The following is a 13,807-nucleotide window of genomic DNA, read 5'->3' as shown; positions in this document are numbered from 1 at the left end:
CAAAGAGCTTTGCATCTTGGCCAGCGGCTTAGCTCTGGTAGCAGATAGTGGAACGTGTGTTGCTTTGCTCCATAGCGGAAATATTCACCAACATTTTTAGAAACTGCCACTGAAGCTGCAGCTCATTTTCTCTGTAGACTTTCTCCCTGGCCATTTTAAACCGTCACTGCCTCAACCTCATAGGCGATTTTCTGGCAGACGACTGATGTCTGAGGAATGTAGAAACAAGGTCATTAGCTTTCCTCCAGTTAAGTCCTTCCTGTCGTTCACAATAAAAGAACCTCAACTCCAGACGCTTTTTCAAGCAGAGGCATTTATTGTCCAGATGAATTGTCCCAAAGATTGTTTTATTTTAAACATTTCAATGGCTGACTCTGCAGAGTTATTTAATACTTGTTTGAGCTCCTTTATATACATATATATATATCCTTGTCTTCCAACTGAAGGCAGTTTTGGAGAATGTACATGTTTCTGACCCTAACCATTTGCTAGCGGGTAGACATTAATGAGAAGCGGCTCCTTGCTTCAAATGCAGCATTTCTTTTGTGAGATTATTTCTTTGACATCTCAGTCACTCTGACACTTCCCTGCTGCTTCCTCTAGGACATTAAAAAAATTGTCTTAAGCAATAAAGCATGGCTGTTTCTTTCTCTCTCCCAATCCCACCCATAGACACTTTCCCACCTCCTTTCATCCATTCTTTACTAGAATAGGGAGTGTTGGACAGGCCCTCAATACTCCCTTTATCTTTAACAAAAACTGAAAGTCCTGATCATCTAATTTTATCCTTTTGATTTGAGATGCACTGTCTAGGTTTTGACCCTAATAGGATATCTTGCATCTGCTGCATTTTTTTTTTCACCATAAAATCTGAACACATGGCTTGGATTATTGGTGCAAAACCACACTATAAATTCCATAACAAACAATTTTCTGGGTGGTAGAGATTTGAATAGCAAACATCAGTAAAGTGAAACACCCTTTCCCATACATTCTCTTTCATGCATCCTTAGTATACACAAAAATAACAGAAAAATATTTGGAAAAAAATAATGTGGAGGATTTACTGTGTGTGCCATTAGAGGCTGAAATTTAAATAAACTGAAAAGAAAAAAATTAAATTACCTTTTGTTTCTGAAGACAGAGGATGAGGTAGAAATGACCATTAAAGAAGGTCTTAGTGTTTATTTTCAATGAAAAGAAAGTTACAAATCTGAGAGAACCACAGTTAAAACAGCAGAAATTCTAAGCTTTTCCTTACCTTCTGCAACTTTTTTCTAACAAAGTTAGTGAACTGAGTTGAGCATAGTGAGATATTGTTACACTTAAAAGACTTTTAATTAAACTTGTAGCATTTTTTCAAAGATGGGGGGAACCATAGCTCAACTGTATTTACACAATGTATTTGAAATTATCTTGGCTGGTTATTTGCCATCAGAAATTAATGTTTCCTTTCCCAAGACAAAACTTGAGAAAAAGCATGGTTTGGGGGCAGAAGGACTAATACACTGAAAAACAATATTGAGTAAATCAGTTCACCATGCTATGCCTTCTTTTGATTTTCAGTTCTATTCTACAGTAGAATGAAGTTCACTAGGAATTTAGAGAAAGGGACAATAATATCAGATTATTAATGTGAGACTCAATACCAGGCACTTCAAGTAGGGGTCTTGATGTATTTGTTATACTTTAATTGAGAAATTTAAGTGATTGAAAAGATATTTACTGTGATACCATAATACTGCCTATTCTTGGTCTTCAAATTCTGTGATCCTGCTTTAAAGAATTTATAGGAGAAACTTTCTTCCAGCTATAAATATTTATTGGATTAAATTAACGCTTGTTTGAATTTTGAGTGTGTTGGGGTTTTATCATTTCCAATAGATGCCTCTTAAATATAACTAAGGCTTTCTAAACACATGTAACATTAACAAAATTATCTTTAAGAAGATATTTTCGAAGTGGTGAGACCATTGGTCTGAACCAATAGCTTTCAAAATGTGGACTCCAAATGTGGTCCAAATGTGGACCATCGGCATCAGCATCATCTAGCAACATGTTGGAAATGTAAATTCTTGAGCCTCATTTCCATCACTAAGGGGTGGCCCAGCAATCTGTGTTTTAACATTACCTCCAGGTGTTTAAACACTAAGGTTCAATGATCACTGACCTAACAAAAGCCAGAGGATTTTTGAAATAAAATGTTCTTAGGCATGTTTCTCTCAATGCAAATTTATAATAGCTTCGGATTACAACTGATCATTCTTCCAGACATCTGCAGTGTTTATTTGTGAACAACCATGTCAGAGAATTAACTTGGATTTGCTAGTGGTAGGAAATTAGGAACTGGGGCACAAAGCAATTATTTATCTCTTTGATAATAGAATTTTCTGTATCTAGTGGCCTAACCCAGAAATTCTGATATAGTAGATTTGGGGTAAGACCTGGTGCTATATTCTAAATGTTTGTGTCCCTACCCCCCAAATTTATATATTGAAATCCTGACCTCCACAGTGATGGTATTAGGAGGGAGACCTTTTAGGAAGTGATGAGGTCATGAAGGCAGAGCTTTCATAATTGGGATTAGTGCCCTTAAGAAAGAGGCCCCTGAGAGCTCCCTTGCCCCTTTCACTATGTGAGGCCACAGTGAGAAGATGTGATCTTTATTTAAACCAGAAACTGGGGCCTCAGCAGACACTGAATCTGCCTGCTCCTCCATCTTGGACTTCCCAGCCTCCAGAACTGTAAGAAATACATTCCTATTATCTGTAAGTTACCCAGTGTATGATATTTTGTTAAAGCAGCCCAAACGGACCAAAATGCCTAGTAATACACATGTTTAACTTGTACCCTCAGAAGAGAAAAACTGCCAGAGAGAATTCACATCAGTGCAGACCGAGAGTCTCAGATGGCTAAGAGATGTGCCTGACAACTTTTCAGAAATAAGACTATTAAAAGAAGGTCAGCTTGGAGTCTTACTGCGAAGTGAGTGCAAATTCTTTGCTTAATGACTGTTTTCCTCTCCCTGAGGACTGAACCCATTGATAATTACCAAGAACACAGTATTTGCTTTTGGATTTGTCATCTAGAGCTATGCAAATAGCTTTAATAGATCACTTCTTTTCTTAAAAGTACCTTAGAAATCTCATTAAGAAGGACTAATCCTGGATTCAGTTCTTACTTTAATAAGCTTGTGGGAAAATCAACAAAAACACACAGGTACAGAGAAGAACAAACATAATTAAGGGGTTAAAAACAGAAGTCCCTAAGGAATGAGTGATCTTGCTATTTTGAGGTACCTCCATACAACTCATATGGGCTTTGCTCTGGGTGAATGACCCTGTAGTGAGGTATAAACTACCATGGAGAATGGAAGGAACAGAGGTCTACATATTAGAAGGCCTGAATCTATCTAGTCCTGATTCTGCTGTTAACTTGCTAGCCCCTTGCAAGCCCCTTAACTCTGAGTCCTTCAGTTTTTTTCATGAGGATTATAATATTATCTACACCAGAGATTGTTATAAGTGTGGAGTGAGATAATACATATAAAATTGCTTAGAAAAACAAAAGCAATAATGCAAATAGCATGTCCACCCATCATCTATCTACCATCTATCTATCTATCTATCTATCTATCATCTATCTATCTACACCTTACCATAATATTGAGAATTAATAGTGTGGTTAATAGGCCATGTTGGCGATCTACTGTTTTGAGCTTGAAAAAATATAAAATGACTGCATTGATTTCAAATAAATTTTTTAAATTATGAAAAAATCATTTAAATTAGACTTCATTCAGCAAAGAGATTTAGGTGGATATAGAACTCTTGATTACAAAGCTTTCATTAAGTAACTTGTAAAGACCCGTGTGAATGCAATACACAGTCATCAAGAAGCTGATTTTGGTCTGGTCCTGTTTGAAGGGAAGGAATAAGTCGAGTTGATTTCTTGTAGACTGTAAGCCTTAATAAGCAAAATACATTTTCTTTCCTACAGGAATTATAAACAGGCACGTGGATTATAAATAGGGTGAGTATTTAATTCGTTACTGAAACTAGAACACTTTTAAGAGTAAAAGGGGCCAGGCATGGTGGTGCGCACCTGTAACCCCAGCACTTTGGGAAGCCAAGGCGAGAAGATCACCCGAGCCCTGGAGTTTGAGGTTGCAGTGAACTAAGATTGCACCACTGCACTCCAGCCTGGGCGACAGAGCAAGACCCTGTCTCTAAAAAATAAAAACAGGCTGGCATGCAGTGACTCAGGTCTGTAATCCCAGCACTTTGGGAGGCCAAGGTAGGTGGATCACTTGGGGTCAGGAATTCGAGACTAGCCTGGTCAACATGGTGAGACCATGTCTCTACTAAAAATATAAAAATTAGTGAAGTGTGGTGGCACATGCCTGTAATTCCAGCTACTCGGGAGGCTGAGGCACAAGAATTGCTTGAACCTGGGAGGCAGAGGCTGCAGTCAGCCAAGATTGCACCACTTCTCTCCAGCCTGCGTGACAGAGCAAGACTCCCTCTCAAAAATAATAAAAGTAAAAATTTAAAAAAACAGTAAAAGGGGCATTATTAAAAATCACACAGGACAAAAATCATACGCATAAAGTAACATAGGTAAACCCAGCACCTAAGCTGTTTAGTTATGAATAGCCCCCTCAAGGTGAGTAAAGTCAGAATAAACTCATCGACAAAAAGATTCTGAAATATAACCAGCCTTTCTGTACTGAGGTCAGTTGGAGAACCACGTTGAAATGAGCAAAGAAGGACAGCAGAGGCCTGTGGAAAGCCCAGGAAGCTATTGTGCTTTGGGAAGAAGCAGGCAACTTCAGGCAGCAGGGATGGAAGAAATGTTTCCAGGTTTCTCTGAAGTGAAGCATCAAACATGTGCCTGAGCTGTTGTCTGCCAAGAGGCTGCAGTACCAGACACACCAGTCTGGTATGTCAAGCTCAGAGATGAGTGACTATGAATAAAAGCTTCAGGTCAATGTCAAGTCTACCAAATAGAGTTGCAAACAGCTCCCAGTTCTGCAAGCAAAGGCTATAGACATAAATCAAAGAGCAATCTTCCAATGTCGGCAGTGTGGGAAAGACTGGCCACTTGTCACGCTTCAGTGTCCTCGGCCACCGTTTCACACATGGAGAGTAATTACAGTTGGTGGTGTCATCTGAGAGGAATGATGGCAGGAGCAGGACTGGTCGATGAGGTGAAGGGAGAGAATGAAGCATGCCCCATGTTGAGAGATACAATTTACTTATCTCCATTTATATGTACTCCCAGAATCATAGGGAATCACTTAAAAATATTTTCCCTTTGAGGCATTCTTTCTCATGATTTATAAGAAATGCTTTATTTCCAGCATATCTCCAGCATGTGTTTATGGAAGCGCGTTGCAGCCTCATAATCCTGCCAGGGTAACAAGCCTAAAGACATTTTACTAAATGAGTTTTTAGGGATAAATCAATGTTCACAATGTCATATTGTTAGGATGATTCTAAATTCTGAAAAAATATAACCTAGCACTCTTCTTCAGGGGAGGGTCAGGTGAACTGCCTAGTTCTGGGGGAGATTCTGCAGTAAGACAAGAAGTCAAAGGCACATCTGGCATAGCCTTATCATCAACTTTCTTCTGAGTCCTTAGGTGTGTGATATCCTGGGCCAAGAATGTCCCACAGTGGCAGGTGTGGCCCTCTATGACTGCTGGATAGCCAGCTTTGTAATCAAAGTGTGATTGAATTTTTTTTTTTTTTTTTAAAGACAGGATCTCACTGTCACCTAGGCTGGAGTGCAGTGGTGCGATCATGGCTCACTGCAGCCTCAACCTCCTGGGCTCAAGTGATCCTCCCGCCTCAGCCTCCCCAGTAGCTGGGATTATAGGCATGTGTTATGACACCCAGCTAATTTTTTTTATTTTTTGTAGAGGCGAGGTTTCATTATGTTGCCCAGGCTGATCTTGAACTCCTGGGCTCAAGTGATCCTCCCACCTTGGCTTCCCACAGTGCTGGGATTATAGGTGTGAGCCACTGCGCCTGGGGCGCTAACTCTTTTGATAGGTCAGCCATAAACTTCATAGAGCTTATTTTTCCAAGAAAGCATTCTTTTTTACTATTTCCTTATGGAGATATTTATAAAAAGATAGAAATAAAAGTTTTTCATCTGAGAGGAAGAAGCACAAAATATTAATAGGTATTTACTTATTTATATTTGGCTTCTTTTAAAACATTGCTCCTAAAGGAAATGATGTCAAGTGTTGGCATGGGTTTCATGTTTTCCAAGAAACATGAGAAGAACGGGCCTAACACACTCTTTCATTGCTTGTAGGTCCATTTTCATTTTCTGTTATTCATTTATTGCATAAAGTTTTAGGTTATCAATTCATAAAGCAATTCTGGAACTTGCATTACTCCCTGAAGCTTCTGATATAGTGAATACTTTTAAAAACAGTTATGTGATCATATTAATGTTTTTAAGTAAATACCAGTGGACATAGAAGCCAATACATTGCTATTGCCAGGGTATTAATCCAGCCTTGAAAAAAGTGTAAGTCCTATGTTTAGTTCATGATTGCTTTAAAGCACAGCTTTTTCTTTGTAAATACATAAAAAAGATTTTAAAAATTAATTATTCTGGCAAAACCATGTCTTATGATGGAGAAGTAGCAATTTCCAAGGCCAGATTATGATTTTTCCTCCCATTCTGATAAAAGGGTAGGTCAGTACTCTACTGTCCAATTTATTTTTATTTATTATTATTATTTTTTTGAGACAGAGTCTTGCTCTGTCGCCAGGCTGGAATGCAGTGGCACGATCTCGGCTCACTGCAACCTCTGCCTCCTGGGTTCAAATGATTCTCCTGCTTCAGCCTCCCTAGTAGCTGGGACTACAGGTGCACACCACCATGCCCAGCTAATTTTTGTATTTTTAGTAGAGACGGGGTTTCACCATGTTGGCCAGGATGGCCTCGATCTCTTGACCTCGTGATCCGCCCGCCTCGGCCTCCCAAAGTGCTGAGATTACAAGTGTGACCCATGTGCCTGGCCTACTGTCCAATTTTCAAATCATGTTATTTCCAGGAAAGAGAGTCTTTCTGAGGATTGTTCAGTCCCCTTTGTTAAATAAACATACCAACATACATAGTTTTCTACTTTTCAGCATGGTAGTAGCGGTGCTTTGGGTAGACAGAGTCTTAACCTTCAGTGGAGTGGAAATGCCTCCTCAGATGTGCTTATTAGCAATGTTGTGCCCTTTGGCTTAGGGGTAGGTTCTCGAGGCTTCATTTCATTCTATTTGTTTCCTATTTGCACACATTTAACAGTTGCTTGACAGTTTAGAGTTTTAATTTTGGCCTCAATGTCTCAAGCATTCCTTAATTTAAAAAATTAATTTTTTATATTACATTTAAAAAATTAATTTTTTATATTACATTTAAAAAATTAATTTTTTATATTACATTTAAAAAATTATTTTTTTATATTACATTTAAAAATTAATTTTTTATATTACATTTAAAAAATTTAATTTAATTTTTTAAAACTTTTAAGTTCAGGAGTGCATGTGCAGGTTTGTTATATTAGTAAACTTGTGTCATGGCGATTTGTTGTACAGATTATTTCATCACCCAGGTATTAAGCCCAGTACCAGTAAGTTATTTTTCTTGATCCTCTCCCTCTTCTCACCTTCCACCCTCAAATAGGCCCCAAAATATTACATTATTTTATTCAGAGATCAAGAGACCAATCTTGGTTGACCTCTGTGTGTCACACCAAAATAATGCAATATATTCAGGCTTTCTCAAAGGACAGAGCCAAACATGTTATGGCTAGCTTTCCATGATTATAGCATCCTACAAGATCATTGCGAATCTGAGCTTTGCAGGGTACAGAACCCAGGGTTGTCTCTTTCATAGAACTGTAAATAGCAGTCAGCTGTTTAATGACATAATGTGAATTTTTATAGGATCATCTAATTCTACAACAAGATTGCTGTCTGAACACTTGAGATAAATCTTCATTCACTCTCTGGAATTGCTCAACACACAGGTTAATTTCTCACTATTGATTTTCTCCAGTATGCTTCTTGAATGCTTCGAGATCTCTTGACCTATACAAAATATCTCTGTGACAGAAGGTTAAAAAAATAGCTCTTCAAATTTATGACAAACCCACAGCCAATATCATACTCAATGGGCAAAAGCTGGAAGCATTCCCTTTGAAAACTGGCACAAGACAAGGATGTCCTCTCACCACTCCTATTCAAATTATTATTGGAAGTTCTGGCCAGGGCAATCAGGCAAGAGAAAGAAATAAAGGGTATTCAAATAGGAAGACAGGGAGTCAAATTATCTCTGTTTGCAGATGACATGATTGTATATTCAGAAAACCCCATTGTCTCAGCCCAAAAACTCCTTAAGCTGATAAGCAACTTCAGCAAAGTCTCAGGATACAAAATCAATGTGCAAAAATCACAGGCATTCCTATACATCACTAATAGAGAGCCAAATCATGAGTGAACTCCCATTCACAATTACTACAAAGAGAATAAAATGCCTAGGAATACAACTTACAAAGGGATGTGAAGGACTTCATGCTACCTGACTTCAAACTATGCTACAAGGCTACAGTAACCAAAACAGCATGGTACTGGTACCAAAACAGATATATAGACCAATGGAAGAGAATAGAGGCCTCAGAAATAAAGCCACACATCTACAACCATCTGATCTTTGACAAACCTGACAAAAACAAGCAATGGAGAAAAGATTCCCTATTTAATAAATGGTGTTGGGAAAACTGGCTAGCCATATGCAGAAAACTGAAACTGGACTCCTTCATTACACCTTGTACAAAAATTAACTCAAGATGTATTAAAGACTTAAACATAAGACCCAAAACCATAAAAACCTTAGAAGAAAACCTAAGAAATACCATTCAGGACATAGGCATGGGCAAAGACTTCATGACTAAAACATTAAAGCAATGGCAACAAAAGCCAAAATTGACAAATGGGATCTAATTAAACTAAAGAGCTTCTGCACAGCAAAATGAACTATCATCAGAGTGAACAGGCAACCTACAGAATGGGAGAACATTTTTGCAATCTATCTATCTGACAAAGGGCTAATATCCAGAATCTACAAAGAACTTAAACAAATTTACAACAAAAAAATGACCCCATCAAAAAGTGGGCAAAGGATATGAACAGACAACTCTCAAAAGGAGACATTTATGCAGCCAACAAACATATGAAAAAAAGCTCATCATCACTGGTCATTAGAGAAATGCAAATCAAAACCACAATGAGATAACATCTCACACCAGTTAGAATGGCGATCATTAAAAAGTCAGGAAACAACAGATGCTGGAGAGGATGTGGAGAAATAGGAACAATTTTACACTGGTGGTGGGAGTGTAAATTAGTTCAACCATTGTGGAAGACAGTGTGGCATTTCCCCAAGGATCTAGAACTGGAAATACCATTTGACCCAGCAATTCCATTACTGGGTATATACCCAAAGGATTAGAAATCATTCTACTATAAAGACACATGCACACATACTTTTATTGCAGCACTGTTCGCAATAGCACAGACTTGGAACCAATCCAAATGCCCATCAATGATAGACTGGATAAAGAAAATGTGGCACATATACACCATGGAATACTATGCAGCCATAAAAAAGGATGAGTTCATGTCCTTTGCAGGGACATGGATGAAGCTGGAAACCATCATTCTCAGCAAACTAACACAGGAACAGAAAACCAAACACCACATATTCTCACTCATAAGTGGGAGCTGAACAATGAGAACACATGGACACAGGGAGGGGAACATCATACACTGGGGAACATCACACACTGGGGTCTGTCAGTGGGTGGGGGACTAGGGGAAGGAAAGCATTAGGAGAAGTACCTAATGTAGATGAGGGGTTGATGGGTGCAGCGAACTACCATGGCATGTGTATACTTATGTAACAAACCTGCACATTCTCCACATGTATCCCAGAACTTAAAGTATAATCAAAAAGAAAAAGAAAAAAAAATAGCTCTTCAAAAGAATGCTTGAAAAATCAGTAAAGATAATGAAATAACTCTTCCCCAACTATAGCCTGGTTGTTTAACTAGACATTTTCATTAAGTTTCAGGGAGATAAAAAATCACGAACATGTATAAGAAGAGGCTTCATGTACTGTATTAAAGTTTCTGAGTGTGAATATTACTTTAGTGGGCATCCCCAGGGAGGCATAGTATTCTCATCTAGTGACTGAAAATCTCAAGTTAAATCACAGTAATATCCAGAACCAGCTTGGGTAAGAGTGAGGCAACACAGTACAAGATAAAAAACACAGGAATAGGGCTCAGAAGACATCAGCCTTGCCAGGAGTTGGGCCTTTCTGGGCTTTTGTGATTCATCTGAAGAAGTAAAGGGACTGGATCCTAGGAGTCCTCCCAGTTCTAAAATTTAATGCTCTAGATCCAAGATGTTATATAAATTTTTATTAACAGGAAAACCAACTTCAAACAAAAACCAAAAAGAAAGCAAAGTTAAAACATTTTTATACCAAAAAAACTTGAGAGATATATAATAAACATGATTCTTTTTTCCCAAGAACCACCTTGATACCTGTGTTTTCTTCCCCCAATGTGATATTATTGAACAGTAAAAAATTGCTTTAAGGATTAAGTGTTCCATTTAGTTTTCGGAGCATTCCTTTCTTCATCCCCGAAATATTGTCCCATTAACAGAAAATGGTGTCAGAAACACTTTATTAATGGTAATTCCTTTTATGAGCTTCCAAATAAAAGAACATCATTAATTCAACACTACAAAAAAAAAACAAGAAAAAAATAAAAAACAAAAGCAAAACCCAAACAAACGAACAAATAAAACCACTTCTAAGCTCCCACCACTGACTAAACAGAATTGAAGTGAACTAAGCCATTTTCACATATCACTTGGAGTGTAGATTTATTTGGGTTTAAGAATCTCCTAAACAAATTACATCAAACTCACTCCATTTCCTTGCTTAATAAAAATTATGACTGGACAAATATCAGACTTTTAAGATTTTAAAAATAATAGAAAAGTAAAAATAGATTTCCCAGGGAAGTCCCTCTCCTAAATCTTATATGGTTTTGCTGCTTCTGTGAAATCTTTCTTTGGAGTAACTTGATAGCATAGATTTTTGCTTTTGCTTTTGTTTTTAACTGGATTCATAGAAGGGCACTGAATTAGAAATTCAGTGGATTCATGGAGCATGAACTTTCATAAAAAAGAAACTTTGCTCTGAAAAAAAAATGGCAAATATAAACGAAAGAATGGGAACACTGGATGTCCATTTCATTATGTAATTTAAGTCTTACATTAGATATTGCACCCTCATTTAAAAATAAAAATAAAAAAAACAGAATAGTGTGAGCACTCTGAAATCATCTGCAGCACTTTTAAGGGTTAAACCTGCTGAACCCATTCTTAGTCAGAGAATGGCACCAAAGAGTACAGCTCACCCCTTAAGCTTGGCTAGTTCTAAACCTGTGATATCCTCAGGTTGTCAGAGCAGTCATGCACTCCATTTTCACCCCCCTCCCACCCAGTTAATAGGATCCATTCATAGCTACTCACTACTGCAGGATTTGACCTGAGAAATGCTAGGATTTATTAGCTCAGCAGTTGTTTTGAAAAGTCCCTAAATTATCTTTGCCCTTGGCCAGCAAGGGAACTGCTAGTCTCGAGTTCTCAGAAGCAGCTGGTGAGATTCTCAGCCAAGTTCTTCAGATGCAGGAAGTTCTTCAAAACAACCTACTTTGACATGGCATTTGCAAATTTTTAAACCAGCCTTCCTGGATCGAGGAAATGTTATTCCTGACTCCTTCGACCCAGATGCTGGCTAAAATTTAATTTATAACCTGTAGGTAATCACTCTTTCTTCCTTTCTTCTTTCTAGGAGTTGGCATGGTGGTTAAATTTTTCTAAAACAGTCATATTAATGTGTTCAAAAATCCACTGCTGAGTCTCAGAGAGAGGGTCACATCTGGCCATGAAAATCTTCTTCTCTGCGGGGTTGCAATCCATGCAGCTGTTGCTCACAGGATGGAATAATGTTCTGTCCTGGAGGAGTGAGGAAGAAAAGAAAAGACTGTTGTAATACGTGGTGAATGGTTACAACCCAAAATATACAGAAGTAAGATATTTCTGTTTATATTTCAGTATATATTTATTGTGTAAATAGAACAGCTCCCAAATCAAACAATAGCAGGTGGAGTTGCCCATGTGGAATGTGAATTTGTAGGCTGTATTGGCACTATGTAGGGCCTACAAGCAGGTTCAATTAGAGACAATAAATGTATTTATTCATTCAATCATCCACTTCTTTTAAAAAAGCAATCCATTCATTTTCTGCTCTGTGGTGAGCTTTTTGCTATCTGCTTAAATTTTGAAAATAGTAAGTATATGGGGTTGCTTGGCAAGTAACCAATAATGTAGCTATCTGGGAAGAAACACATACACAAAAAATTGTATTTTAGTCCGCAGTAAATAATACCCCCTGCTCACACGCACACACAATGACTAGAAGAGTCATAATTCCCTCACATTGAATCTCTAATGGGAAAGAGAAATACAAAAGAAAAAAAAAAGCAGCAGTCAAAAGTGCCGGGTTCTCAGCTGCCCTTTTCAGAAGATGAATATGAGTTTGGGACAAGGGACACACAGGCAATAGCTGAATGTACAAATTCAAATTTGCTAGTTCTTGAGCTTCAGTCTCCTCTCAATCCCTTTATTGATATAATGCAGGTGTTCCAGTGCTGCCGTTCTCATTGCTTTCTGCAAAATGGAGGAGGCAACATTCATTTTAAAAAAGCCCCCAGGTACATGATGCAGATAACAGCTCAGTGAATGAAAATATACCACGAGGACAGAAAGTTTAAGTAGTGAGCAAGCTCATTATCTGAACAAGCTCTGTTAACACACACCCTCTTTTAATTGTGTTAAGTGGGGAAAAGGTAATGCTAAAAGAAAAATTTCCTAACTAGTAATAAATTTTACCTCTAATGTTGTCTATAATGCCAATAATACAAGAAAACATCCCCAAATCCCTGCTTATATTTTAAGATCAAGTAATGTTTTATTATTTAGTTTAGGGAAGGTTTACAGGCTCTGGTTACCTTTATCTGAGGAATACTAAACTTGCAATGCTTTTAGAATTAGGAGTTTCTCAGGCACCCTTTGTAAACATTTCTGGGTTGCTCCTGGATTTTAAGACTCCATCAACCAATATTTAATGTCCTTTTAGGATCCGGATGTTTGCATAGTTAAGCACTGCATGAAGGAAGAAAGAATAAGGAAGGAGAAAGGCAACCTGCAGGCAATTTAGTTTGCCTGTTTCTATTTTCAGTGTAAACAAAGAGCTGTGCCTAATACAAAGGCTTGCTATTCTCTTCTGCTCTCTTTATGAGTTTCCTGAGTTTATTGTGGATTTTACTTTCCTTACACAAAGAGGGCTCCTGAGATCTCCTTGCCATTTTCTTTCCATCTTGCTTCATTAATTCCACCCGTGTCTGACCCCAGGGAAAGACTCTGAGAAACTCTCTCCTCCCTCTCCTCTGGGGTGGAGGAAGCAGCTTCCAGGAGGAAGGAGAATGCAGGCTGCAGCTCACTCCGCCAGCCCTTCTTTCTGAGGGTCCTAGATATTTGCTGTCCCAGATGCCCTCTCCCAGCCGCTGCTGTGGCTCCTCAGGCAGCAGTCTCCTTCGCTGTCTTCTCTCTTCTTCCCCAGCATCTCTCATGCTCATTCTCCCAGCCCCAACCAA

General features: G+C 38.2%; 1 protein-coding gene across 7 annotated transcripts in view; it reads right to left on the bottom strand.

The window, feature by feature from the left end:
• Positions 1 to 10,480: 10,480 nt before the first annotated feature.
• Positions 10,481 to 13,807, bottom strand: part of GALNTL6 (polypeptide N-acetylgalactosaminyltransferase like 6) — a 1,228,156-nt gene continuing 1,224,829 nt past the window's right edge. For all 7 annotated transcript variants that reach the window (NM_001034845.3, XM_017008244.3, XM_011531993.3 and 4 more), the window contains one exon: positions 10,481 to 12,107. In NM_001034845.3, the coding sequence (NP_001030017.2) occupies positions 11,940 to 12,107 (168 nt within the window). In that variant the 3' untranslated portion in view covers positions 10,481 to 11,939. The remainder of the gene's footprint in view (positions 12,108 to 13,807) is intronic.

The sequence above is a fragment of the Homo sapiens genome, chromosome 4 (genome assembly GCF_000001405.40).
Source record: "Homo sapiens chromosome 4, GRCh38.p14 Primary Assembly".
NCBI classification, from domain to species: Eukaryota; Metazoa; Chordata; class Mammalia; order Primates; family Hominidae; genus Homo; species Homo sapiens.
The sequence above is the reverse complement of the archived record's forward strand: the minus strand, read 5'-3'. Positions and strand labels throughout refer to the sequence as shown.